Source organism: Homo sapiens, chromosome 3 (assembly GCF_000001405.40).
Source record: "Homo sapiens chromosome 3, GRCh38.p14 Primary Assembly".
NCBI lineage: Eukaryota > Metazoa > Chordata > Mammalia > Primates > Hominidae > Homo > Homo sapiens.
The window spans coordinates 169,911,192-169,939,186 of record NC_000003.12 but is presented as its reverse complement, the minus strand read 5'-3'; the positions used below and the strand labels follow the sequence as shown (position 1 = coordinate 169,939,186).

The 27,995-nt window shown below is 41.8% G+C and overlaps 1 protein-coding gene and 1 pseudogene across 3 annotated transcripts, besides 1 other annotated feature; both read right to left on the bottom strand.

Annotated features, from left to right (window-relative positions):
* Positions 1 to 11: 11 nt before the first annotated feature.
* On the bottom strand, positions 12 to 27,615 carry SAMD7 (sterile alpha motif domain containing 7). 3 transcript variants are annotated; one of them, NR_130713.2, is made up of 10 exons: positions 27,366 to 27,615; positions 23,746 to 23,820; positions 19,603 to 19,729; positions 17,849 to 17,973; positions 14,051 to 14,129; positions 12,862 to 12,974; positions 12,006 to 12,634; positions 10,609 to 10,730; positions 2,738 to 2,848; positions 12 to 869 (listed from the first exon to the last, which is right to left on the bottom strand). NR_130713.2 is itself a non-coding variant. In NM_182610.4 (9 exons), exons 3-9 carry the CDS (start codon positions 19,686 to 19,688, stop codon positions 681 to 683), a joined length of 1,341 nt encoding a protein of 446 aa, NP_872416.1. In that variant the 5' UTR covers positions 19,689 to 19,729; positions 23,723 to 23,820; positions 27,366 to 27,615; the 3' UTR covers positions 12 to 680. The 3 variants fall into 3 exon arrangements, 2 of the variants coding, with proteins under 2 accessions (NP_872416.1, NP_001291295.1); NM_182610.4 differs by lacking the exon at positions 12,862 to 12,974 and having other exon boundaries at positions 23,723 to 23,820; NM_001304366.2 differs by lacking the exon at positions 12,862 to 12,974.
* Positions 3,685 to 3,787: a silencer, noted in NCBI's record as "fragment chr3:169653188-169653290 (GRCh37/hg19 assembly coordinates)". NCBI's record gives its function as "represses an EF-1alpha promoter that drives an FKBP-Casp9 reporter gene in an ReSE screen in phorbol 12-myristate 13-acetate-treated (for megakaryocytic differentiation) K562 erythroleukemia cells {active_cell/tissue: K562(+PMA)}" and the evidence as "EXISTENCE:reporter gene assay evidence [ECO:0000049][PMID:32094911]".
* On the bottom strand, positions 5,758 to 7,348 carry FAM20BP1 (FAM20B pseudogene 1; annotated as a pseudogene).
* Positions 27,616 to 27,995: the final 380 nt, after the last annotated feature.

Below are 27,995 nucleotides of genomic sequence, written 5' to 3'. Positions count from 1 at the left end.
GGCCTAGCTAATTTTTTTTTGTATTTTTAGTAGAGACGGGGTTTCACCATGTTGGCCAAGCTGGTCTTAATCTCCTGACCTCATGATCCGCCCGCCTCAGACTCCCAAAGTGTTGGGATTACAGCCGTGAGCCACCGCGCCTGGCCAAAACTCGAAAATTTAAGGTTAAAGCTTCTCACCTTCCCTAGCTTGGGCCTGCTTCACGCTGGAAATCTGGAATGAGAAGAGATGGAGTCGTGGTCAGCTTCTCCATTTCTGTTCTGTACTTCTGCCCGTTCTCTTCTGCCTCTCTGTGGTTTCATTGGGTTGCCTTTATCTCTTTCAGGGTTTGGGAATGGAAAATGAGTGAAAAAAGGGAGGGAGCTCTTTTTTCAGTTTCAGCTCTTTTGGTTTCTTCAGAGATTTCTTCATGGAAACATCCATCTGCAGCTTTCTTGATGTTTGTAAATCTCCCCTTCATTAGCATTTGCTCCTAAGGATGCGTCTCCAGTCATTTGGTGCTGGGGTCATTCAGCCCTGGCAGGGAAGCCCCTTGGGCAAGTCTCCTCCATGAAAGCCCCAGAAAGGCTGACTTTCTCTTCTCATTCTCCATCCAGTACTGGGAAATCCTCACACATCCTTTGTAATATCCTAGGCTCTTTGGAAAACTGGCTAAGACTATTCTTCCTCCTTGAGGGCTTTTAGTTTCTCATACTACCTCGCTCAATTCCTTTAGGAATTATTGTATCCTGGGGACAAAAAATGTTCATTGTATCACTCCAGGAATTAGGATCCAGAAGAGGGGATGTATCTGCTGGTTGATCAAATGCTTGTCTTATAGGAAATGAAAGAGTTTTCTTGTAGAACATACTTCCCACATGCTGAGATACCTTTTAAGACAAAATAATTATAGTAATCAATTCTATGAATTTTTTTCATTAACTCAGCATTAAACACACATCACAGAGAGGCTGAGGTAATTTCAGGCATGGAGCATCTATTAACATATAGTTGTGGGGGTCACAATTGTAGGATGTGGTGGGCTTTTTCTTTCTCTCAGAATTATAGTGTTTACAGATGTAAAACAGGGTATCAAGGTGGCTCTAACCAGGGGCAGCTGAGCAATAGTGGAATTACTGAGGGGGAGAAAAGTAGATGGTGAGGTCAGGACGGTAATGGTGGTGGCATGTTAGGAGGAGCACAAATGACATAGGTCTTTGGCTTTGGCTCTGAAGGCAATGGGGAGCTATTGTAGAATCTTGAGCAGAAGACTGACACAATCCATCTTACATATTAAAAGGACCACTTTTACTGTTTTGTGAATCAACTCTGGGTGGGCAAGGGCAGAAGCAGGGAGAGCAGTTAGAAGGCCAATGCATGATTTCTGAAAGATTTAGAACCAGAAATACCATTTGACCCAGCAATCCCATTACTGGCTATTTACCCAAAGGAATATAAATCATTCTATTACAAAGATAAATGCACACATATGTTCATTGCAGCACTATTCACAATAGCAAAGACATGGAATCAACCCAAATGCCCATCAGTGATAGACTGGATAAAGAAAATGTGGTACATATACACCATGGAATACTATGCAGCCATAAAAAGGAACGAGATCATGTCCTTTGCAGGGACATGGATGGAGCTGGAAGCCATTATCCTCAGCAAACTAATGCAGGAACAGAAAACCAAACACCGCATGTTCTCACTTATAAGTGGGAGCTGAATAATGAGAACACATGGACATAGGGAGGGGAACAACACACACTGAGGCCTGTCAGGGGTTGGGATGGGGGGAGGGAGAGCATCAGGATAAATAGCTAATGCATGCTGGGCTTAATACCTAGGTGATGGGTTGATAGGTGCAGCAAACCACCATGGCACATGTTTACCTGTGCAACAAACCTGCACATGTACCCCATAACTTAAAATAAAAATTAAAATTAAAAAAAAAGAAGGCCAATACAGTCATCCAATGAGAGATGATGGTGCCTGAGACCAGGATGGAGTGGTGGAGGTAGTGAGAAGTGGCGTGCTGGGGTTGGCTAACTCACAAGAGCCAATTATTCAATGTTTAGGAAGTTTGCAAGCCAGTTGTTAAATACATCATTATTAAAAATTAAGTCAAAGCATCATATTAAATAAATTATGTACAACAAAAGTAATATATGCTTAAGGCTCATCACTTTTTAATTGTTTTTACCTAATTATTTTACTATTATTATTACTTCTGCTCTTGACGTTATTCACACCTATTATATTTGAGATTGTATCTGGTAGAAATACTCTAAAGTGGGGTGCTGCTATGCATCTTTTCCCATTTCAGGATAGTCACCCCCAAGTGTCATGGGCCCGGAGCGAGGAGGGCAGCACTCCCGAGTGGGATGATGATTTCTCGGAGGATGACAGTATTCAGTGACATTAGGAGTTTCTCAGCCACGGTGGGAGTAATTTACACCACAGAAATTGGAGATATTACAAATTGGGGCTCATTTTTTTTCAAAGAGAACTACTTGTTAAACATTTACCAGTGCATCCTTGCTTATCATCTTCCCAGTTATATCTAGGAATGTGTACCACCATCCCATCCAATGTTTTCAGGGTCCCTCACTTCTATTATGTCCTCAACCACAGAGGGAAAGCAATAAAGAAGTTAAATAAGTATTATTTATATTACAACAAGATAAAAGTAACATATTTGTATTAAGCTTTGTGCCATTAATACATAATTAGTTATATAAAATCACCATACCTGTGACTGAATTTTTAGTGCCGGCCCTAGCTTTAATCCCATAGTGCCTCGAAGATGCTCTTCTGTGAGTAATGGCAAAGTTTCTCCATCAATTGCATGATCTTTAAATACCTTCATAAATACAAAAGGTGTTAACTCTGTCTGAATGTCTTTTTTTGAAAAAGTTCTTTTACCACCTAGATATTTTAGTTTTGGAGAAAACATTAAGACTGCTTGAGGATGACAAAAAAATTTGTAAAACCTTTTTTTAGTTGCTCTCTTTTCTGTGCTCAGTAGCATATTGCTTGTGCTCTTTAATAACCTTTGTAATCGACTGTAATTCTCTGTTTATAGAACTCAATTCCAACCAGGAATAGTGATTATTTGAGGGCCAGGTCAGTGTTTTTTTGACCAATGTACCCCTAATACAGAGGCTGGCATATGGTAAGAAGATGTACAATAAATATTGCTGGATAAATGAATGAATGAGTAAATGCTGTAAGTAAAGGGATGTGGGTAAAACCTGTTATGGATAAATTTCATGTCTCACATTTACAGATGTGGTATCTGCTGGCCATGCCTTAGATGCTTGGTAAAGGGAGGGGAGGGAAATGCTGCTGAGAACTTTCCCTACCGGACCTTTCCAGCAGGTCTGTTAGTCCTGAAACTGTAGTGGACGTGGCGTGCCTTCCTTTCTCTGAAAGCCAGGAAGGCTGCTGGTGGACAAAGATTCCAGGCAGATAGAGGGATACAAAATCTAGGCAGATTGATAGGACCGTAATTTCATGATCTTCAACTTCAACTTGCCTGGAAATCCTTCTATATTCACAGTTGAGCTTTCTCTCCCTTCTATTTCAAGCTATCTCCACCCTCCTCAAACTTTAGACTTTGTAGGCAGAGCCTTCCCTCATTTTCAGTAGATCATAGCGCTTCCTAACTAAAAAAACAAAACAAAACAAAACAAAACAAAAAACAGAAAACAAAAACCAGTAGATAAGAACTCCCTCTAATTCTGACCAATGAACCAAAAACCTTTATTTTCTCCCACTGTCACGATACAATGGAAGAGAGGTCTCTCCACCATTTAAAGACGATCTCTCCACATATACTGTGGGTCCTCATGCCTCCCACTTCCAGAGAGGATAGATAATTCCCTCTTTTCTCTTCAGTCTCTCCTCTTCTGCTGGCTCTTTCCCATTGGGATTTAAATAAGTCTCCACCATCATTAAACAAACAAAAATAATGAAAATACTCAAACTCCATTTCCAAATGCTGCCTCATGTCTCTCACTCCCTTCACAGCTAGATTTCTCCAAAGGGTTTCGATGCTCCCTGCTTTCACGTTCTAATTTCCCAGTCATTCTGCAGTCTCAGGGAATCTGAGCTCTGCCCCGACCATTCCATTAAGCCGGCTTTCCTCAGGCTTCCGGGTGCCTCTGTCCCACCAAACATGCAGACATTTTGCAGTTGTTCTATTTCTGAAGTTGCTGGCTGCATCTGACATTGTTGACTGTGCCTTCATGAACAGTGCTTGCTCTTCCTTTCTGTCATGAGGCTGCTCCCTCCTGGGTACCCCTGTTCTCTCCTTCAAGGTCACCTTTGCCAGCTCCTGTTTCTTTGTCCATTTTTATAGGTTAGGGTTTCTTAGGCTTCTGACTCAGGTCCCTTTGGTCTTCCTGATTCATTTCAGCTTTGCTCAGCTTCAATGATGGGCTGTATATGCTGAAGGCTCCCTAACATGTATCTTTAACTCAGAAGCTAAATCGTGCCAGTTTGGCCTCTTACATAGTTTTCATTGTGCTGTGACTGGGCAGCACTGAGTTCCAATGCAGAGTCCCACAATTACCGTGTCCCCCACCCACAAAAGCACAGATTCTGTCCCCATACCATGTGGTCACTTCTGGGGGACGGCAGAGGGATGGTGTGGGCAATTCCAGACTATCTTTCCTACCCCCTTCAGTGCCTCTTTCAGTGACATGAAGTTAAAACCAGGTACTGTGATTGATCATCTGATTTTTTGTTCTTATGAAGGTGGTTTTTTTTTGTGAGGATTGTTGCTCCATGTGGTGTTCCGGAAGGGAGGACCATCGGTGGAGGCTTCTTTTTGGCCATCTTGCCCTGCCTCCTCTAGGTTGTGTTCTTATCCTCCTGCCCCCACTGCTCCCACCCTGGATAGAACTCCATCATTGCTTATCTGAATAGGCTTCCCCTCTGTCTTGTCCTCTTCAACTTATTTTCATAAAAGCAACCTGAGTGATCTTTCTGCAATATAAAGCTAACCATGCCGCTCCCTACTTAAAACCTGACTGCCTCCAGGATAAAGCCACAATCCTTCACTGGGTCTTCTGGGCTCTGTGACCTGGCCCTGTCCACCTCTCCAGTCTCATCTTGCTCTCCCCACCTCTCCCACCTTGGCCCTGGCCCTCTGTAGCACTGGGAACTACTCTCAAAGTCCCAACCATATTAAAGTTTTCTCTGGCTCTGGCCCTCACCTGGAAATTCCTCCTTTATCTCCCTCCTGCCTCACCTCTCCTCTTGACTTTCAGGTCTCACTTTAGAGGCCTCTTCCTTTAGGAGGCCAAGAGTCCCTCATATGTGTTCCCACCATGCTCTGTACCCGCCTTTCACAACGTGCTCGTATGGATGTGGGATCACTCACTGGTGCCCCTCTTCTGGACTATGAGTGCCATGAGAAGAGGAACCACATTGGTCTTGTTTCCACTCTGTGCTCCATGCCTCACAGGGCATGACTCAGGACCAGCTAAAAAGTAGAATCTTCTTGGAAAGCTCCTGTACTGGGAACCTTGTGTTCTAATAGATTTTAGTCATGAATGTATACATATATTTTTCCACAATATGCACCGGTGTGGAGAAAGGACTGAAATGTTCCACTCAAAACACACACTCCAGAGCCAATCCCAGTATTCATCTATGAAAATGTCTGATTGTCCTTTGGCCTGGGAATTAAGACTGACCAACTATGATGCCTATTGCTAGAATGGGCAATTGCTGAGGAATTCAGAAGGTGATTCAGCAGGAACATCTCCATGCTCAGAAACTTGTGGTCTTTGCTTTAGTTTCTACTACAGAAAACACCAAAGACATCCAAGGCCACCCTGTCCCCTGTCACCAGAACTTGCTGCTGGCCATTTCCAATCCATTTCATACCATTTGGAATTGATTGTGCTGCTTCTCTATCTTTGTAAAAAGAAGTTTCACTTATTTTTTATTGAGAGTTACAAGTGGGAGAAAGGCATTGTGTCTTCTACCATACAGTGTCCATCCCAAACTGGTCAGTGCACTGCTCCACGGTGGCCAGGACACTCAGGAGCCACTGGTCCATGGCGTCCAGACGAGGATCAGAGAGCACTGGGGAGAGGGGGTCATGGGCCATGGCAGATTTTAAGGTAGACTTCAGCACACCATTCTTTAGGTAGTTCCGTCTGTTCCAGGTAGACACCTGAGTGATGCCACACTGATAGAGGGGGGGAAAGAATGCTTCTTTCATCCAGCAAGGGGTTCCCAAAGCTTTTGTTGTTATCAAGAAGGATGAGCATACTGGCGCCCTCATTATCTTGAAAGTTCTTATAGTAATGGCAGTCAGCATTGTCAATCAGGTAATCAAAGACAGCTGTGTTAATGGTGTCCAGGCGGCACAGGCCAGAGTCATAAAGGGACGTTTTCTTCACAGCCTCACAGTAGCGCTCATCATACTCCCACCTGGCCAATTTGCCTTTTCAGTAAGTCCTGGCCCACGGGTGTCAGTGTTTCTGGAGAGGCCACACATCTGGAAGCCAAAGTGTGACAGATTTTTCCATTGTGTCTCCATCGGCACAAGCTGATTCTGTTTCTCGGTAGTAATAACACTTCCCATAAAAACAAGTATTGTGTCCTACAGTTAGGAAGGGGCTCAACAGCTGCTCCATGGTAACAGGCTTGATCTCTGTCTGAAGATGAACGGATCTGCCCACCATCAGCAGGGCTCTGGGACACCCACAATCCTGTCCAAGTGAAAGGCTGCTACCTCCGCATTGTGTCTATCATAACCGGCATATGGTTCCCTTCCACTACATAGTCTCGGCTATACTACTTAGGTTCGAAAACAACTTTCTGTTCCCTTTCAAGGATCAGTAAGGCTTTCAGCTGTGTCCCTTTATAACCCACATCAGCTTTAATAATTTGCTTGGTGGCCATGGCATGCATGATTGCCCCCAGCTCTGGTGTCTCTTCACAGTACACTTCCTGGGGAACCACCCACTGGGCTGCAGTCTCCTAGGAAGACTGCAACGTGTGGTCCAACTTGGGTGACAGCTCCATCCACAAGCCAGTCATCATTCGGTGAAAAGCCCTCAGGGGATCAAGTAGTGAAACGCTGCTTGGCAGTTGATGTATCTAAGTTGTCAATCAGGAAAACTTTGGTGAAGATAAAGATGACAGGAATTGCTAACAGCATGACTCGCTGCTTTAGCTTCATGTTGACCTCTTTTCTTCTCCCCTGACCCACTCACTCTCTGGCTCACTTATCAAGGAGAGGCAGTGGTAATGGTTAGTAAGGAGATTCCATCATTACACACATTGGTCCATTTGTGGATGCACCTTCCACAGTTCCCGTTGCGTCCTAGACTCGCTCGTGGCTACCCATGCAGTGCAATGCAGCATGGCCCCCGAGGAGGGGCAGCCCCAGGCTGTGCTTATCACCCCAGCCACTGCCACCACCACTGCAGCTCCCACCATTCCCTGGCCACCTCTCTCAGCGCTGAGCCAGCCGTCCCCCAACAAACTGCATTAAGTAATTATTTCTTTTCCTATTTTAATTAAGCAAATTATAGAAAATGGCTAATATAAATTAAAGAGCCAGGTGCGGTGGCTCACATCTGTAATCTCAGTTACTTGGGAGGCTAAGGCTGGAGGATCACTTGAGCCCAGGAGTTTGAGACAAGTCTGGGCAACATAGTAGACCCCCATCTCTTTAAAAAAAATTAGCTGGGTGTGGTAGTGTGCACCTGACAATTTGTGAGCATCCAAAGGAGGAACCACGTGGATAAATTTTCAAGCAGAGGTAGGCTGGCAGCCAGGGGACTGAAATGTGTGAGGATCTAACCCTCAGCCATGGTGGATGTACTCAGGGCCTGGGGCGAGGACACATACATGTCCCTGTCGCTCAGATGTACCCCCTTCTTTCTCACCAGAGCAGTTTGGGCCATGTGTAATGATATAAATGTGCACATATTTTCAGTAATTTCAGTTCTTTTTAGAGAGAGGATATTTTATCTGCTGAGTCCTCTGAACTAGACATTTACTTGGAACAAAATATGTTGCAGGCTCTCCTGAATGTTCCTTAACAGCTGAGCCACCAATCCTTTCTCTACACCTATTTAAAAGAGTTCATTTGCACTTGGGGCTTTGGGTTTTAGTTGTTATTTTTTTTCTGCTGAATTTCTTTTTCTACCTACAGGAGGTGAGTGGTGAGAAGTTGCTGAGTAGGCACCTAAGGCAGAGATGGGGAGTAAGAGGATAGTTGGGGGACAGTAGGTTTAACGCCAGCTAATCTCAGCACCTTGGTCCAACTCATTTAAAGAAAGGGGCTATGGGGCTGGGCGCGGTGGCTCATGCCTGTAATCCCAGCACTTTGGGAGGCCGAGGTGGGCGGAACATGAGGTCAGGAGGTTGAGACCAGCCTGGCCAACACGATGAAACCCTGTCTTTACTAAAAATACAAAAAATTAGCCAGGCGTGGTGGTGTGCACCTATAGTCCCAGCTACTCGGGAGGCTGAGGCAGGAGAATCGCTTGAACCCAGGAGGCGGAGGTTGTGGTGAGCAGAGATGATGCCACTGCGCTCCAGCCTGGGCGACAGAGCAAGACTCTGTCTCAAAAAAAAAAAAAAAAAAAAAGAAAAGAAAGGGGCTATGAGTAACAATGAGTAACACCTGATGGGACATTTTAGACAAGCGTCCTTGTGAGAGTGGGGTACAAGCAGTGCTGCTTCAGGGCTGTTGCATCCAGAGGGCATCTCCCCATTTCTGTATAAAATAACATCACAGAGCATAGCTGGGGGCAGGCACAGCACAGCAGTGACATCTTTCAGTTGATGCCACCTGCTGTCACTTGGAGGGAGTATACTTTAATGGGGAAACTAAAGCAGGACTTGATCCTAAACAAATTTGAGACGTATCTAGAAATAATTGCTACCACTTCTTGGGGTAGGGAAGAGGGCGCTGACATCCTGTCAGTGAGAGATAATGAGTCAGCAGAGTTTGGAGTACTCATGTTTATGTGACTTCTGTGTACCCACAAGGGGACATTTGGGATTTTAAACTATGAAAAGCATGTAATATTATTTATTACAAGAGCTATTATTATAAATTGCACTTTTCTGACTATGGATCACTAAGAATAATCAGAGTTCAAATTCAATGTGCCAGATCTTAGCAATCACATGCTTATTAAATAAGGGTTGCTCTTCCGGTTGTTATCAGAAGTTAGCAACTTAATTGAACCCATGGTTGACATGGCACTTGAAGTGGTATAGATACATTTAAAAAGTGGCTTACCCATGACTAATGACTAATTTTTAAAAATAAGGTTATAACCATTGAACAGGGAAGAGTAGGCCAAAAACTTTTTATCAGGTTATGCAAAAGACAAAAATGGGTGACTTGAGGAACACAACTTGCTTCATAAGTAACTTGAGGCTTGGCCGTCTCTTGGGTATAATGATGAAATTCATGTTTATTGAGTATTTACAAGGTGCCATGCACTCTAATGCTCACAAAAATCCTCTGAAAATGTATTATTATGATTATCTTCATTTTACAGATAAAACAACTGAGGCACAGAGAAGGGAGGCAACTTGTCCTAGGTCACACAACCAGAAAATAGAAAAGCCAGGATTTGAATTTGTACTTTCTGGCTTCAGAAGCTATATTCTTAGTAACTACTCTATATAGTTTTTCCGTAAGTCCCGTAAACTGAACTAAAAAATAATAATAATAAAAAGAAAAAGAGTTAACAGTATCTCACTGTAGACAAACATTTCACAAAACAGATCTGGAAAATAATCAGCTCTAGTATCAGTTAATTATGATGTAGTTAAACCTTAATATCCTTTTCTTGCTTTCTTTTCCTTTAACATGCAAACCAAAAATGATACTAGATTTAGTAGGCACTTTATTGCTTAGAATTGTATTATTAAATAACTCAAAAAAGTAAACTAAATGCATGAAAATGTAGCATTGACATAAACTTCAAAATTTTACCAACCTATGACTTTTGTCACAAATTTTTCAATACTAGTGAGGCTAGTTTTGTTTCTAACTGCCCTGATAGTTCATTATAGTTTTTTAAAATGGTATTTTATGCCAGATTGAATATGTTGTATGCATTTTTATATATTGTCCCAGCATAAATACAGAATTTAAAATAATGAATTTCTAACTTTTCAGATATTGCCTTCTTGTTCCTTTTAGAATGAAGTATATATTCCTGTTACTTACAGTGAGTAACCTAAAACTTCTCACCCAGAAGTCTGTGCTCCAAAAATGTTTGCTATGTGGATAAGTAGGGAATGTAGTCGTTATTTCCCATTCTTTTTGGATGTTCAGCTTCTGAACCTTCTTCTAATTTTGGGAGAATTCCTACTTCTTAGGAGTCTTGATAGGAAAGAAGCTAAAGACAGACAATGGCTTTCCCAGCCTCCCCTGATGCTGGGGTGTGGGTGTATGACCCAAGTTCCACCAATCAGAGACCTGTCCCAGGGTAGACACTGGCATAAAAAAGAGAGATTAGTAGGAATCCTTTCTGGAGGCACAATGCAAGTTTGACCTAATTCATTATGCAGGAAAGATATTTCAAACTGTTTTTCTTGTATGGAAATACTTAAACATTAAGTCACCTGAGCATAGTCTGAACAACCTGGAAGGCTGCGAATGAAGCTGTGCACATCATCCACGGTCCACTTCTGAATATCTTCATCCAAAGAAAGATTCCCCCCAATTGTAACCAGTGCATGTGTTCCTTTAAAATGGAAAGAAATTGTGGCATAAAATACATACAGGTTTATGTATAGTTACATTAATTTCCTTATATTCTATCACCCCAGAGTGGTCTTGATTTGCAAACGCCTTACAAGATATTAGGAATTACTAGGAGATGTTTTCTAAAAGCTTCAGCTGCCTCCTTTCTTTTCTTTCTCTGAAAAGATCTTTACTGATAGCATTTATTGTAAGTAAACAAGTTCCAGGTTTGCACCAGCTTCTCTCAGATTACAACAGAAATGCCCCATGGATTCTATTCTCCAGATTAATGTTACTATGTTTTCGTGATAGGTGATTATCCTGCTTTCGAGATGAGACAATAATTTAGCTACATTTTCATCAGAATGGCAAATTAACACTTTGTAGGGAAACAGTTGGTATGGTGGCTGTATTACATGCCCTTCACAATCCCTGTGTCTTAAAATATATTTTTTTTTATCTAAAGGAGTGCTAGAAAACTATTCAGTGTGCGTTTCTGTCATGAAGTGCATTAGTATTTTTAAATTTGAAAGTATCAACAGTATTGGACACTGAAAGGTAATACTTCTGCTTAATTGCCTGTTTTTTCATATACTTAAATATCAGGGAGATAGAATTCACACTTTGAAGCAAGACGCCTCTCTGCTTTGTTGAAGAAATGAACACTAAATTACATTAAAATCTTAAATTAAAATTCTATTATGTTTCCCAAGATATTTACCTTCCCAGCCTTTGTTGAAAATTCTCTATATAGCAAAATATAAACAGAGGCTAGTTTCACTGATATGGCTTATTAGCACTGATAGAATAAAATGATGCTAAGAGAAGGTAATTCCAAGCAGGATTAAGAAAAAGAAAGATAAAGCCGGGCGCGGTGGCTCACGCCTGTAATCCCAGCACTTTGGGAGGCCGAGGCGGGCGGATCACGAGGTCAGGAGATTGAGACCATCCTGGCCAACATGGTGAAACCCCGGCTCTAATAAAAATACAAAAAAATTAGCCGGGCGTGGCAGCATGCTCCTGTAGTCCCAGCTACTCGGGAGGCTGAGGCAGGAGAATGGCGTGAACCCGGCAGGCGGAGGTTGCAGTGAGCCGAGATCGCGCCACTGCACTCCAGCCTGGGCGACTGAGCGGGACTCCGTCTCAAAAAAAAAAAAAAAAAAAAAAAAAAAGAAAGATAAAAAGAGGCAGGATGGTTACAGTTTATTATGTAGTAACCTACGGACTTGGCAACCTGTAGTTAATGAGGATCTGCCATTGGCCCCTGGACACCCACCTGGCAGAGATGGTCGAGGAACTGGAGGGCAAACCCCATTCTTTTCATCACAGGTTGCAAAAATCTGCTCCGAAGCCTCCTCTTTCCCATCGTCCCAGGCCTTTGCTTTCAGGGTAGTGGTGTGAGACCCCCAGGGTTTCCTATGGGTGGGCTCGAGCTCTCCACAGGTGTTGGCAAGAGCTGTCGTTGGCTTTTCATTCGTTTCACTTGACTTCTGGTTGCTGGGTGCTTCAATGTCTGGGTCTTTTGCATAATGATCCTCTTCATAGGGAACTGCATGAGTCTGACCTAGGATTTTTTCTTCTGCTTGACTTTTGGAACTCTCAGCATCACTGTCTAGAGCTTTTTGATTCCCTGTATTTTTCCTGAGTCGACGACATCTCTGCCCCCAGCTCTCCTCAAAGTGTGGTGCAGTTGCCGCTAGCATGGGGTTTCCCTGAAGGTTTCTGAGGGTGCTTCTGTGAAAATGCAGGTCACCGGCAGGGAGCATGCTCCTGCCATGGTAGGCAGCGGGGGCAGCTGGGACACTGGAGCCATAGAGGAAGGGTATCCCTAGGCCTGCTAGTCCCTTGGGATTAATTTTTTCCATTCTCCTTTGCTGGTAAATAGCATACATTTCCATTTCTGTCCTAAAAACAAAACAATATATTTTATACAGCCCAAGAAAACCACTATAAATGTAATTTTAATGACCCCTTGTCTTCCCTAAAATAGTCCTCACACTGTTTATCTGAAGTTTGTTTGGTGGAAACATGAATCCCCCACAAAGCCACTGGGAAGGAGAGTTTTGAGTAAGATCTGAAGCTTTGTCTGAGTCTCACAATGGAAGTCCAAAGGCCAGTCTTTAGAGTGTTACCTTTAAACAGACGAGGCAAATTTAGCAGGGATGGGGCTTACGCAGCACAGCTAGTTCCTTGCCAGAGATTAATCCTCAAAAAACCTAAAGTACTGGGAAGAGGTTTTCAAACCCTGCAAAATAATCTTAGTGAGATTCAAGAAAGACAATTAGACATTGCAAGTCTCAATATTTATAAATAAATGCAAGTGGCTGGGGAAGAGCAGAGGAAAAGACTCGGTAGTTTTGCTTACTTCACTTTGCTTTTTGGTCCTCAATTGGACCCCTTTGGGTTCAGCGATGAGAAAGTTGACTCTGCCTTCTCTTACCCTGGGGCCATACCCTATTCATTGTTATACTTTTCTTTCTCCTGGGTACTATAGCTGAAGGCCACTGTTGGGCTGACATGGGTGTTGTCTGAGTTCTGATGGCATAATCTGAAGTCAGGTAGGCAAACTTGGCTCCTATCTTTGCGCAAAATTGAAGTCATTTAAGACAGTAATGCCAATATGAATTTCAGAGGAGTCGTAGGCATTTTAATTATGGGACACTGATGGTCTTTTGCAATCTGTGTACTAATACTACTGTTAGCTTCACTGTGTGATTTCTTTTTATTTGTTCAAGACAGAGTCTCACTCTGTTGCCCAGGCTGGAGCACAGTGGTGCAATCTCGGCTCACTGCTACCTCCTCCTCCCAGGTTCAAGCAATTCTCTGCCTCAGCCTCCTGAGTAGCTGGGATTACAGGTGCCTGCCACCACCCCTGGCTGGTTTTTTTGTATTTTTAGTAGAGACGGAGTTTCACCATCTTGGCCAGGCTGGTCTTGAACTCCTGACCTCATGATCCACTCACCTCGGCCTCCCAAAGTGCTGGGATTACAGGCCTGAGCCACTGTGCCCGGCCGTGATTTCTAATCTTGCTTTTATCCTTAACCAACCTGCATACATGTTTGTATTCATTTCTTTTTCTTTTTTTTTTTAAGTGAAAGCAAGTTTATTAAGAAAGTAAAGGAATAGAGAATGGCTACCCCATAGGCAGAGCAGACTATGTTTCTTTTTGTAATCTGCCTGAAATACTTTATGTAAGTAATTTGTGTGTGTGTATTTATTTGTTATATATATTCATCTATTCATTTGTTATATGAAGATAACAAGTGAATAAATGAGCAAGTGAATGAATAGAGAATAAATAAAACAACATTGCCAAATTACCTGGCAGTATGATGCCGTTGAATCATTTCATTCCTTCTGGCCACTGCCTTTATGGATTCAGGTGGTAAAATGCCCCAACCTTAAAAAAGAAAACCACCATCCCACCCCACAAATAAATTAAAAACATGCATTTGAAAATAATAAAATAAACTATAACAATGTAAAACAGTATCTGAAAAAAAAAAAACAAACCAGCAATTGCGCACAATTTTGGAAATGGTATCAGATCATTGCAGTTCGGTATCTTAGAGTCACGTTGGTGACAGCATGACAAATACCAGATAATTTTTTGTTCTTTAATTGTTGGTCTCATGACTGGTGGCATTTTCCTGCCATACTTTAATAGGAAAAAGATGAAGTGATTTGTGAATCTCGTGATCTGTGCCTTTTTTGGTCTTTTAAAAGTATACGTATTTTTTGGGTACCACTTGATGTTTTGATATATGTATATACATTGTGGAATGCTTAAATCAAGCTAATTAACATATGCCTCACCTCACATATTTATCACTTTTTGTGGTCAGAAGATTTATAATCTATCCTTTTTTTTGAGACAGAGTCTCGCTCTGTCATCCAGGCTAAAGTGCAGTGGTGTGATCTTGGCTCACTACAACCTCTACCTCCCAGGTTCAAGCAATTCTCCTGCCTCAGCCTCCCAAGTAGCTGGGATTACAGGCGCATGCCACCACACCCAGCTAATTTTTGTATTTTTAGTAGAAATGGGGTTTCACCATGTTGGCCAGGCTGGTCTCGATCTCCTGACCTTGTGATCTGCCTGCCTCGGCCTCCCAAAGTGCTGGGATTACAGGCGTGAGCCACTGCACCTGGCCAGAAACAATTTTTTATACTCACTTTGCACCAAGCAAGTAAAGTGCTTTAAATTTCTACCAATAATCTATCTTGAAAGAAATCATACTAGATCTTTTTTAAAAATGAGGTTCTTTGTTATCTGTAAAATCAAGGAGTTAGATGAAGTGATCACCAGGAATCCTTCTAACTGTAAAGCTCTAGGTTTTTTGTAGTTCAATAGCTTTGAGATACTCTCTTTTAGACAGCTGGCATGCATGAAGCTACCAATTCATGGCATACTGCCCACGGACACAGAGAAAGTCTGTGCAAGAAGTCCAGTCTAGAGAGCACAATACTAACTGCCTGGATTTTAGAACCCTCTGAGGTCTGGTCTCAAGAAACCTTCTCCCATACTTTCTCTTTCCCAAACAGGCAATATCAAACTTAATGTTAGTTCAGTTGTATAATTCACTGCTACCTAACAACCCTGTTTTGTAAACAGATCCCTGTCTTAGTTTCTATTTTGCTAACTTACTTAGTAGCTCAGTTTTTGTAGGACTGAGGCCTTATCTCACCCATGCTTTCTCTTATACTTCAGCCTTGAGGTTGGAGACCTGACCTAAGTAAGTCCAGGCTGGAGTGTAATGGCATGGTCTTGGCTCATTGCAACCTCCCTCTCCCGTGTTCAAGTGATTCTCCTGCCTCAGCCTCCCAAGTAGCTGGGACTACAGGCATGTGACACCACACCTGGCTAATTTTCATATTTTTAGTAGAGACGGCGTTTCACCATGTTGACCAGGATGGTCTCGAACTTCTGACCTCGTGATCTGCCCGCCTTTGCCTCCCAAAGTGCTGGGATTATAGGCATGAGCCACCACACCTGGCCTGCAGTGCAGCTGTTTTACTAGTCTATTGGCCTGTTGTCGGTAATCATGGGCTGCAGATTACTGGGTTATTGCTGCCAGCTGGCTTCCATCCAGGATCTGCTGTTGGACTGTCTCCTTTGGTCCTTGAACCAATTTACTGAGTGGGCCCAGTTCCAGATCTGGCCCTTGCTTGGATGCTTGCTCTCACTGCAGTTAAATGGATTCGTGACCTGTGGTAGAAACATGCTCAAATCCAGGCAGGCCAGTCTCTTCCCTGACCCAGGCGTGAATCCTATTTCTTTTTGTGTCAGGCTTTCCCTTCACATTGCTCCCATCTATTAAGAGTTGTTGAAATTGTGGAGCAGGGATAAGCATAAACTTATGAATATGGTTTTGGGGGGGATAGAAGATACACCAGTTTGAGCTTCAACATTTTGAGGAAATTCTCACCTCCTAGTCTCTCCTGAGCCCTCACAAGTCATGTTTTCACCAACACGACTCTACTGAAATTGCTCACATCAAAATCTCTGATGACCGCCACATGGCGCTAAATCTAATGATATATTCTCAGTTTTCATCTTACTTGCTCTGCAGATGGCACACTTGACACAGTTGCTCACTCTCTCCTTAAAATAGTCCAATGTAAAATGATCGTAAATCTGACCACAAAAAGTGTTAAATATGGCTGGGCATGGTGGCTCACACCTGTAATCCCAGCACTTTGGGAGGCTGAAGCAAGTGGATGACTTAAGTCAGGAGTTCCAGACCAGCATGGCCAACAGGGTGAAACTCTGTCTCTACTAATAATACAAAAATTAGCCGGGTGTGGTGGCGCACACCTGTAATCCCAGCTACTTGGCAGGCTGAGGCAGGAGAATCGCTTGAACCAGGGAGGCAAAGGTTGCAGTGAGCCGAGATTGTGCCATTGCACTCCAGCCTGGGCAACAAGAGTGAAACTCCATCTCAAACAAACAACAACAACAAAAAAGGTGATAAATGTGTGAGATAAGGCATATGGTAATTAGCTTGATGTAATCATTCCACACTTTCTTCCTGTGGCCTCCAGGCCACCATGCTCTCCTGGGTTTCTTGCTACCTCACTGGTTCCCCTCACTTGTTTTGCTTCTCCCTTGCTTGCTTTTCCTCATCTCTGGACTCTGTTAGTGGGTTCCAGAGATGCTCCTTTTACCTCTTCTATCTGCACTCTCTCCATAGGTGATCTTATCTAGCCTCATATATGCTGATTACTTCCAAAAGTATATCCCTAAATTGTCCTCAGACGTTCTCCCTGCACTTCTGCTGCCTTCCTGACCTCTCCGCTTGGGTGTCTGTTAGGCATCTCAGATGTAATATGAGCAAGCTGAGCCTCTGATTCTCTCCCTCCGCAAGAACTCTGTTCCTTCCACAGTCTTCCTCAACTCAGTGAGCAGCAACTCCATCTTTCCAACTACTTGCACCAAAATTTTTGATGTCATTCTTAGTATCTCTTTCTTCCACCTTCCACATACACACTGTGAGAAAATCCTGTTGTTTCTACAATCAAAATAATTACAGGATTTAGCCACTCTTTATTATTCCTACTGCCACCATCCATGACCAAGCTGTCATAATCTTTTAGCTATTCTAATGGCCTGCTAATTCCCATCAGTTTATTCCCAGAACTTTGATCCCATCAGGTTTGTCCCCATCTCAGAAGCCAGAATTATTCTGGTAACATTTAAGTCAGACCATGTTGCTCTTTTGCTCAAACCCCTTGATGGCTTCCCTTTTTACTCAGAATAAAAGCCAAATTCTCACTATGACCATCGGGCCCATGTAAACTGCCTTAAGCCCCATTAATTCTCAGATCTAATCTCCTCATAACTTTATCAGTTCCTCATGTGTAAGATAAGACAAATAGTAATACTGCAGTTCTTCACGTTATTCATGAATAAATTGACACTTAGAGGAGTCAAGCAGCTTACACTTGGTCACACAGTGGTAGCACCATGATCTGAACCTAGGTGGTGACTACAGAGACTGCAGAGACAACCACCACACAGATCTGCCTCCAAAATTTAGGAGTAATTTGATGGCAAACTTAATGCATCCATCCAGTTCAAAATGACTCCACAGATGAGAGCCAAACTTCTATTGCTCATACCTGGGTAGATCCGACTGGACAACACATTTGCCATATTTGTGTTTGGTAGAACAGAGGATCCAAATTGGGAAGGAACGCAAAACTGTCTTGGGTCAGTTGGAGCTACGGTGGAAGGCAATACATCTCTGAGAACAAAAAGATATAAAATAAAATAGGTAAAATGAGGTTGGAGTACACAATTTCCATGGCTGAGACAATGAGATTTTGTTATTGCCATATGGGATTCTATCATCTCTTCTCAAGATGAAATACAAAAGTCCTGGAGTCTTTATGAATTTATGGAGAAATATGGTGGAAAGATCGGGAAGTACTCCACTAACGAAGGATTGACCCAGCTGACAACAAAATGAGAAAGCAGGAAAGGAAAGTTTTAGGGATGTCTAGAAAAAATATTTAAATAAATCAACACTGCTCTCTGATTTTTCATGACCAACAGTCTACTGTGACCACAAATTCTTTTCTCATTTAATGGACATACTTTGGTTGGGTTTACCATCTGGGATCAATGTTTGAGTACCTGGGTGGACAACTTATTTTTCTAAACTTTAGTGGTCTCTAGAAGTTCCACTTTACTGTTCACACTCCATAAACAAGGATAAATAATGAGTTCTGCTTTCTCTCCTGAAGGTCAAAATATTCTAAACAACAACAACAAAAAACAAAAAAACAAGGGAAGGTAAGTTATTTCCAGAGTGTGCAACCCAAATACTTATAATTTACTTTTTATTGAAAAGAAATAATTCTTTCTTCACGGGAAATCCAGGGTACCCAGTTGTTATGGACTTGTTTCGCCTCGCCACCAAAAAATTAGCATGTTGAAGCCTTAACTGCTAATGTGACTGTACTTGGAATAGGGCCTTTAAGGAGGTAATTTCGATTAAATGATATTATAAAGGTGGGGCCCTAATCCGATAGTACTAGTGTCCTTTTAAGAACAAGAGATACCAGGGATCCCTTTCTGCAAAGGCAAACTAGGAAGGGCTATGTGAGGATACAGTGAGCAGGTGTCTGCCTGTAAGCCAGAAAGAGAGACCTCACCAGACACCAACCCTGCAGCACCTTGATCTTGGACTCCCAGCTCCAGAACCATGAAATAAAGTTCCGTTGTTTAAACCATCCAGTATTTAGTATTTTATTATTTTTATTTATTTGTTTATTTTTTCTGAGATGGAGTTTCGCTCTTGTTGCCCAGGCTGGAGTGCAAGGGCACGATCTCAGCTCACCACAACCTCCACCTCCTGGGTTCAAGCGATTCTCCCGCCTCAGCCTCCCGAGTAGCTGGGATTACAGGCCTGCACCACCATGTCTGGCTAATGTTTTGTATTTTTAGTAGAGATGGGGTTTCTCCATTTTGGTCAGGCTGGTCTCAAACTCCTGACATTGTGATCTGCCCACCTTGGCCTCCCAAAGTGCTGGGATTACAGGCGTGAGCCACTGTGCCCGGCTGTCTGCAGTATTTTATTATGGCAGCCCTAGAAGACTATTACTCCAGTGTTTGCACCTGCACAATGCCTGTCATATAGTATGTGCTCATTAATTATTTGCTGAGTGAGTAGGTCAAGCAGGTCTCAGAGGAGAAATGACAGCAGATGTCTTGAAGGTGAGGCCAGCAGGGTGTCTTGACTTGAATTACTGCACCACAGTTCACTGAAATAATATTAGGCAATAAAACAACACTAGACTTAACATCATTCCAAAACGTAATGATTGTCCATGTTGTTCTTTGATCAAACTATTATATTGAAGAGAAATACCTGTCCACAGTTGGAGGCCCAAATGGTGAGGGGATCAGTGGGATTGTCTGCTGCCCTGTTGGTGTCAATAAAGGGTTCACAGCCATCACCGGGTTTGTCTTCAATATCTCTCGCCACTAATGGAGTTCTAAAAAGAACCAGATAGACACTTTAACAAATAACTCTACTTTTTGTGAACTATTTGAATTCTTCTTGAACACAATAAAAGCCTTTTGTATTTTCACAACACTTGGGAAGACTAGCTACACCAAGCTTTTAGTTACACAAAAACCCCAGATATAATTGTAGAACTCAGTGTTTTATCAGTATGCCCTTGGAATTTGTTGCAGAGTTCACAGGTAATACGGTACCAAACTACAAGCAATAATAAAATTAAATCAGCCTTGCAAGATTCCAGAAATACCAACGTCCTTTCTTTTTTGTTGTTGTTGTTGATTTTTGAGATGGAGTTTCAATTTTTGCCCAGGCTGGAGTGCAATGGTGCAATCTTGGCTCACTGCAACCTCCGCCTCCCGGGTTCAAGCCATTCTCCTGCCTCAGCCTCCAGAGTAGCTGCGATTACAGGCACCCACCACCACGCCCGGCTAATTTTGTATTTTTAATAGAGACAGGGTCTCACCATGTTGGCCAGGCTGGCCTTGAACTCCTGACTGCAGGTGATCCACCCGCCTCAGCCTCCCAAAGTGCTGGGATTACAGGCGTGAGCCACCGTGCCTGGCCCCAACTTCCTTTCTTGCAACTTACTTTGATTCTTACATTTCCAGAGGTACAAATGCATAAATTCTCCCATACGTTCAATCTTTGGAAAAATATTCCTATTTAGTTGATAAGATTTAACACCAGAAAATGAGGGAGGAGAATATTTTTAATGTCTAAAAGTATATCTAATTAGAAGGGATACAGACTGCACGAGACTGTATTTAATTAGAACTGTGATCAAATTACAGCCAAGTTTACATAAATACAAATATTCATATGCTTTACCTTCAGAAACTAGTGATCAGAAAAAAGGACTACTGTTAAAGGGATAACATTTTTCCTGACATTTTCTTGTTCTTTAATATCCTTTGAATGATTTTAAATATAAAAACAAGTACTAGTTGAACAGGTCATTTTAGCTTCTTCTTCATTCTCAACTCCCACTTTTAAAATATCTGAGAACTCTGAGACAGAGAGTAGAACAATGGTTACCTGGGATGGGTAGTGGGGTGGAAGGGGGAAGGGAGGATGGTTAATGGGTACAAAAATATAATTAGATAGAATGAATAAGATCTAGTATTTGATAGCACAGCAAGATGACTGCAGTCAACAATAATGTATTGTACATTTAAAAATAACTAATCGTAGGGCCAGGTGCGGTGGCTCATGCCTGTCATCCCAGCACTTTGGGAGGCTGAGGCAGGCGGATCGTTTGAGGTCAGGAGTTCAAGACGAACCTGGCCAACATGGTGAGACCCTGTCTCTACTGAAAATACAAAAATTAGCCAAGTGTGGTGGCGCGTGCCTGTAATCCCAGCTACTCGGGAGGCTGAGGCAGGAGAATTGCTTGAATCTGGGAAGTGGAGGTTGCGTTGAGCTGAGATGGCGCCACTGCACCCCAGCCTGGGTGACAGAGAGAGACTCCATCTCAAAAATAAACAAACAGGCCGGGTGCAGTGGCTCATGCCTGTAATCCCAGCATTTTGGGAGGCCGAGGCGGGCGGATCATGAGGTCAGGAGATCGAGACCAGCCTAGCTAACATGGTGAAACCATGTCTCTCCTAAAAATACAAAAAATTAGTCAGGTATGGTGGCGGGCGCCTGTAGTCTCAGCTACTCAGGAAGCTGAGGCAGGAGAATGGTGTGAACCTGGGAGGCGGAGCTTGCAGTGAGCCGAGATTGTGCAACTGCACTCCAGCCTGGGTGACAGAGCGAGACTCCGTCTCAAAAAATAAATAAATAAATAAATAAATAAATAAACAAACAAATAAAAATAAAAATAACTAAGTATAATTGGATTGTTTGTAATACAAAGAAATGATAAATACTTGAGGTGATGGATAGGCCGTTTACCCTGATGTGATTATTATGCACTGTATTCCCATATCAAAATATCTCATGTGCCCCCGTAAGTATATACACCTATGTACCCATGAAAATTAAAAATTAAAAATAAATAAATAATTGGGTTTTCTTATTGTTTTTAAAAATCTGAGATACCTGCAACTATATTTAAAGAAAAAGATACTAGGAAGAAAATGTTCTGCTTTTCAAAGTAGTGACCTTTATTTCCTTGTGTGTATTTGATTAAATTGTGTGTTTGATTTAATTTTTAAAATAGAGGTTAATTCATTCACATGGTTCAAATACTAAAAATATAATGGTATTTAAATATACAATCACTTTGTTAGCTTCTTTTTCAGAACTAACCCCACTAATCAAATTGGAAATCCAAGTCCATGGATCACCTAACATCACCTTTTGCCATTCATACATACATATTAAAGTTCTTTATCTCCATTTACTTTCACTGTATTTCTGTGAGGTCAGTATACTTTCCTTTCTGATAGTGGCCTCAGAGAGTTTAGTTACCACCACACAGTCAGGATTAGAATAAAAATCTGTGCTAGGTGCCTGTAAGCCATGGAGGATGCCAGCAGAGAACACAGGCTGGGTCGGAGATGGGCTGGGCTCATAACTCTAGCGAGGACCCTGCCCCGCAACTTGAAATCTCAGGTGCTCCTCATGGGATTCGGTGCACAGCTGCCTTCTTCCCTCTAGACCATTTACAACAGAACAATGGGGGACACCACTAGGTGTTTCATTTTGAAAAATTGTTGAACTTTGATTTGTGTCATGAATCGATGGTCTCTAGCAGAAGATTGAACTTACTCATAAGTGAGGAGTGAGATAGAATTTTTGATGTTACAGGCTCTATTTTGTTTTTTGTTTTGTTTTGAGACAGAGTCTCACTCTCTTGCCCAGGCTGGAGTGCAATGGCGTGATCCTGTCTCACTGCAACCTCTGTCGCCCGGGTTCAAGCAATTCTTCTGCCTCAGCCTCCTCGGTAGCTGGCATTACAGGCACTCACCACCACGCTCGGCTAATTTTTTTGTATTTTTAGTAGAAACAGGGTTTCGCCATGTTGGCCAGGCTGGTCTCAAACTCCTGACCTCAAGTGATCCACCCACCTCAGCCTCCCATAGCACTGGGATTAGACGTGTGAGCCACCACGCCTGGCCTATAGGCTCTATTTTGTACAGCAGTTATCTAGAACTTACTCGTCTAGCATAAAAGAAACTTTATCCATTGGACAACAGTTCTCCACTTCCATCACCCCCTAGCCTCTGGCAACCACTATAATATTTTCTGCTTCTATGAGTTGTACTATTTTAGACACCTCAGAGAAGAAGAATCATGCAGTATTTGTCCTGCTGTGACTGGTTTTTTCACTTAGCATAATGTCCTTCAGGTTCGTCCATTGTGCATGTCAAAATGTGTTAAGAAGGTAAATTTCATGTTGAGTGTTCTTGCCACAAAAATCAAACAAAAACAAAGGGACACAAGAAAACTTTAGGAAGTGTTGGCTATGTCTGTTACCTTGATTAAGTGGTGGCTTCATGGATTATGCGTATGCCAAAACTCATCAAATTGTACACATTAAATAGGTGCAGTTCTTTTATATCAAATTTTCCTCAATAAGGGTATTTTTAAAAATATAGGGCTCAGGCTGGGTGTGGTGGCTCACGCCTGTAATCCCAGCATTTTGGGAGGCCGAGGTGGGTGGATCATCTGAGGTCAGGAGTTCGAGACCAGCCTGGCCAACATGGTGAAACCCCGTCTCTACTAAAAATACAAAAATTAGCCGGGTGTGGCGCCTGTAGTCCCAGCTACTCAGGAGGCTGGGGCAGGAGAATTGCTTGAACTCAGGAGGCAGAGGTTGCAGTGAGCCAAGATCGCACCGCTGCACTCCAGCCTGGGCAACAGAGGGAGATTCTGTCTCCAAAAAAAAAAAAAAAAAAAAAAAAAAAATTATATATATATGGCTCAGCTTGTATCCTATGTGATGTCTGAGACAAGTCAGGAAAAAGGAGAAGGAAAAAGGAAGAAAGAGAGGAGCAAGAATTGCTTAGAGACTCACCACCTCTTCCTCTTACATGTTACCTTTAGGAAAAGCCGTGGAGATGAATCACCAAAAGGAGATGAGATTGTCTTACTTTGGAATCCCCAAAGGAGGCCCTAAGACAAGAAATTAAGTACAGTAGTTTATTTGGGAGGTAATCCCAGGAAGCCCGTGTGAAGGAGTAGAAAAGCAAGACCAGGAAGGGAAAAGTCAAGAAAGGCTGAGTGAATTAATGTGTGGGTTTTCACTGTGGGCAACTGGTGCTCAACCCTGCTGGGAGCCCTCTAAGAAACCTATGGTACACATCTCAGAATTGTCCTCATGAAGGGCAAAGAGTTGGCCCATCAACTTCTGTTGGCCATTGGTTGAGGGCACAGTTCTCCTTTGCATATGGATTATGCTTGAGCTAGACACAACAAGCTCCTGTGGTGCAGGAGAAAACCTTCAGACTGAGAAAGGGAGATGCAGGTGCTTCAGATGGGAAATGACTTCCATGGTTGCAGGTGAATTCAGAAGGAGGCCAAGAAGATGTAAGGTAGGGCAGCAATGGTGACTAGTGCTATTGAGGCAATGTGGCAGACTTCTAATGTCATTCCAGTAGATAATTGGCACAAATGCCTTTCTTCTGAAATACCAGGTTTGCCAGGCTTAGGCATATCTATATGAGGCTCTGTAGGTTCCATTGTCTGCAACAAAACAGCAGGATTTTTTTTTTTGCCATTAGTCACAAGTTATGTGAAATAAGTGGGAGAACTCAGTGCTATTTGGCCAATGGGAAAGGATAAGTCTTATCTAATGTACAATTAAAGCTATCCTTGGTACCACATCTGTTCTTGATTCCATGGTTCTTGGGTCTGGCTTGCTTTCTTTTTGAAATGCCAGGGGAGTGGTTCATTGTTTTTTAATCAGTCCACCAAATTTTAATCTAAAATGCAAGCTATTCCAAGTGCCTGCAGAAATGTCCACATGTCATGGAAGTCCCTGGGCAGGACGATGAGTCATTGGCATCTGCAGCTCCTGTGTGTTACAGTTCTGGGCTCCACTTGGCTTCCCTCATTTGTTTTAATCCTTGCACTTATGAACTAGTACTTATTTACTTATCACTATCATATCGACTGATGCCCAAATTTTCCTTAAAGAAAAGGATTGCCTAGTTTCTTTTGTGCCTGTTTTCATGCACATACCTCAAATTACATAGTTTTAACTTTTATTTTTCAGAGAAGTTTTCAGTACACAGAAAAATGGAGTGGACACTACAGAGAGTTTTCATATCCTCCCCCAACACACACATGCACAGCTTCCTCACTATCAACATCCTGCATCAGAGTGTACATTTGCTACAATCAGTTAAGCTACACTGACACATCATTGCCACCCAAAATTCATAGTTTACATGTGGATTCACTCTTGGTGTTGGACATTCTATGATTCTGACAAATGTAGAATGGCATTTATCCACCATTACAGTATCATACAGAATAGTTGCACTGCCCTATTTGCTTCAAAATTACATTTTGAAGCAAATAAAATCAGAATACTTTTAAGGCAACGTTCTAAGGTTGATCTGATCTTTCCCTTCATCAGCCAGGTAGATACTTGAAACTCCAAATTTGTGTTGCCTTAAAATCATTGTTTTGAGGGTACTGTGTCATATGATCAAGCACGAGTCTTTAAATGTGAACTTTCATATTTTCAGGGCACCCCTTTCTATTTTAGACACATGTAGACAAATTGTAAACTAAGGTCACTTTGCAGTAGCAGATGAAATGCTCAAGTAAAAGTGCAGACTGGAATATAAATTTTCAGTGCAGAGCGTGTCTGGTAATCCCAAAGTGAGGGAGTGCAGTGGTGCTTAGGTCTGCATTCAGCCTGGATTTCTCTGACCCAGAGCTCTAATCCTGGATGCCCAGCACATTAGGAGGATGAGGACTCCTTAATCTCTGTCTTCAGACTCTTACCCTCAACAAACCCCTCCAGGCAGCACATAGATGATTTACCTAGTGCTAATTCTGTCTCAACTGATTAGGGCAGTAGTAGTAAGACATGAACTTCATGAACTAAAGCCCTTGCCAAATCAGCAGATATTCACGGAATGATTTCCCAGTGCCCAGGAGCCGGGTGCCAATTTTATTATATTTGTCTGTTATTGGCTATACTGTGATCTTTCATTAAAATCAGTGCAATTTGAGTTTGGAAAACCCTATATTTGACTAATCGTATGTAGAATATTTATGGTATGTATGATGCATGTTTTCTGATTACATACATTAAAATGAATTAATTTTTAAGTAACTGCTGTATCTGGTAAGTTTTTGTATGTGAAAAGTAGATCAGTAGAATTAAATGTTTCCACAGTTCTGAGATAAATAAATGTAAGATAAATAGATGTAAATTCTTAAATTAAAATGAGAGCAATTTTTACAATTCAGGCCTGGCTTCTTGCGAGTTTTCTTGGCCTTCTCTTAGGCAGTACCCCAACAACTCCAAAGTAATTCCTCCTACTTATGTTTTGCAGAGGCCTTTGTAGTCCATCTCCTCCAACTCTCTCTGAGCACAACCCAAATAGGCCTTCTCCTGGGTCCCTCCATATCTTGCTCCCCTTCCCATCTCTGCCAAGGACGGAGGAGAACTTTAGAAAGACAGTTCATACCGAAGCACTTGGCAGTGCTGCTAAAATGTATTTCACTTTTCCTAAAGGCATAAGCTTTAGGACTTTTCTAACTGCATTTCACCATAGCACATACCCTGGAAAGCATTGAAGACAGTGGGTTACGTGCTGGCTGCTGTCACTTCTTATTTCTTTTTACTCTGGAAGCTCATTTTCATTAGACCTATCCATGTCTTCTTGAAATGTCAGGTTCTAGGCACAATTACAAGTATTGTAAAGAAAAAGGTAAACCTTTGACATCATTAAAGAAGTCAAAATTATGTAATTTCTACTGGACTCAATATAATTTATGTGCAACTACAGTTTGTATAAATTATGTTCACTTTCTTCAAAAGATTGTGAAGCAAAGTCCATTATATATAAATCTGTAGAGACTAAAGTGAAATTCTAGCAGTACTCATATAATGGAACTGAATAGTAGGTGTTTTAGTTAGATAGTCTTAAAGAATGAATTAAGGAATATCAATATAGATTTTATTTCATGATTATCATTGATTGTTCCTCAATGTTTTTCTGAAATTTTCTACTCTGACATTTCATGGTTCATACATCATGACAATTTTTGGAATATAGATATCTATAGTAATGGGGGGCCATTAAAATAATAATATATAGTAAATAAACAGCAGTAATACATAGAGGTAGGTACTTCATCTGTTTGAAGATAATAAAACTACAGTAAATTTACATACAACTTTGAACTGACTTTATCTTAAATAAACTTCATTTTACTTTCACTTAAAAAACTCCAAAAACTAAGACCAGGCAGTGTTTATTTGGTAGGAGTGGTATATCATCTTTACTCGTTAGTAACTTCAGTCAAGTAGGAATTTATTAGCTCACATACTGTTAGTAATAGCCAGTAAAGTCTACACATAAACCTAAGCATTTCCTTTAAGATAAAGATGTCCTTTTATTTTATATGTGAAACATTTTACTCAGAGTAACTGGCCTCAATTTTGGGCTAATCAATGTGTAGAGTTACATACTTACATCCTCTATGAAGACTTCTTGTCTTTGATATTGCAGATGGAAGAACCATACAAAGACTTTCTGGCCTTCAACTGCAGAAGCTTCTCTGGCTGCGGGTTGAAAGGTACATCTGACAATTCTTTCAAAAATGGTCTTAATTCAGTTTAACCTTGCTTTAAATACAAATTCAACTAAGTTGATTAGTCCTATTTCATGACAGAAACTTTGCCCTCTGATATCCTCTACAGATAGGCTAAAAGATGTTAAGCCCAAGGAAAGTGCCCTGCAAGGTGCATAAACCTGTCTCAGAGCTTAGCCTTTAGTGTAATCCTTCCTTAGCCTTTAAGATGCTTTGTGGGCATTCACTTAATACCACTGTTCAACTTGACACAAAAGAAATATACTATGCAAATAAGTAATAAGCTTTTCTTTGATGGAACTATATAGCCTATTCCATATTTCCAACAGGTTTCAAGTGGAAACATTTCTTTTGCGAGTAGGAAAAAACCTAAGTTATTTTCCACAGAGCTGAAACATTTGATGAAAGATGGCAGTCTATTTTAAAAAGAAGCTTCTATAATGGACAACTGTACTTTAATTCTCACAGGCAGTGAGAAAACCCTTTATCATCTGTGTGAGAGCTGTGATCTA

Coding starts and splice junctions, on each gene's coding strand:
- SAMD7 (NM_182610.4), bottom strand. CDS start 19,688: ATGGCTGTGAACCCTTTATTGACACCAACAGGGCAGCAGACAATCCCA. Junction 2,849..10,608: donor GTTGTTCAGACTATGCTCAG/GTGACTTAATGT, acceptor GTATTTATGAAG/GTATTTAAAGATCATGCAAT. Junction 870..2,737: donor CACTAAAAATTCAGTCACAG/GTATGGTGATTT, acceptor TTGTCTTAAAAG/GTATCTCAGCATGTGGGAAG.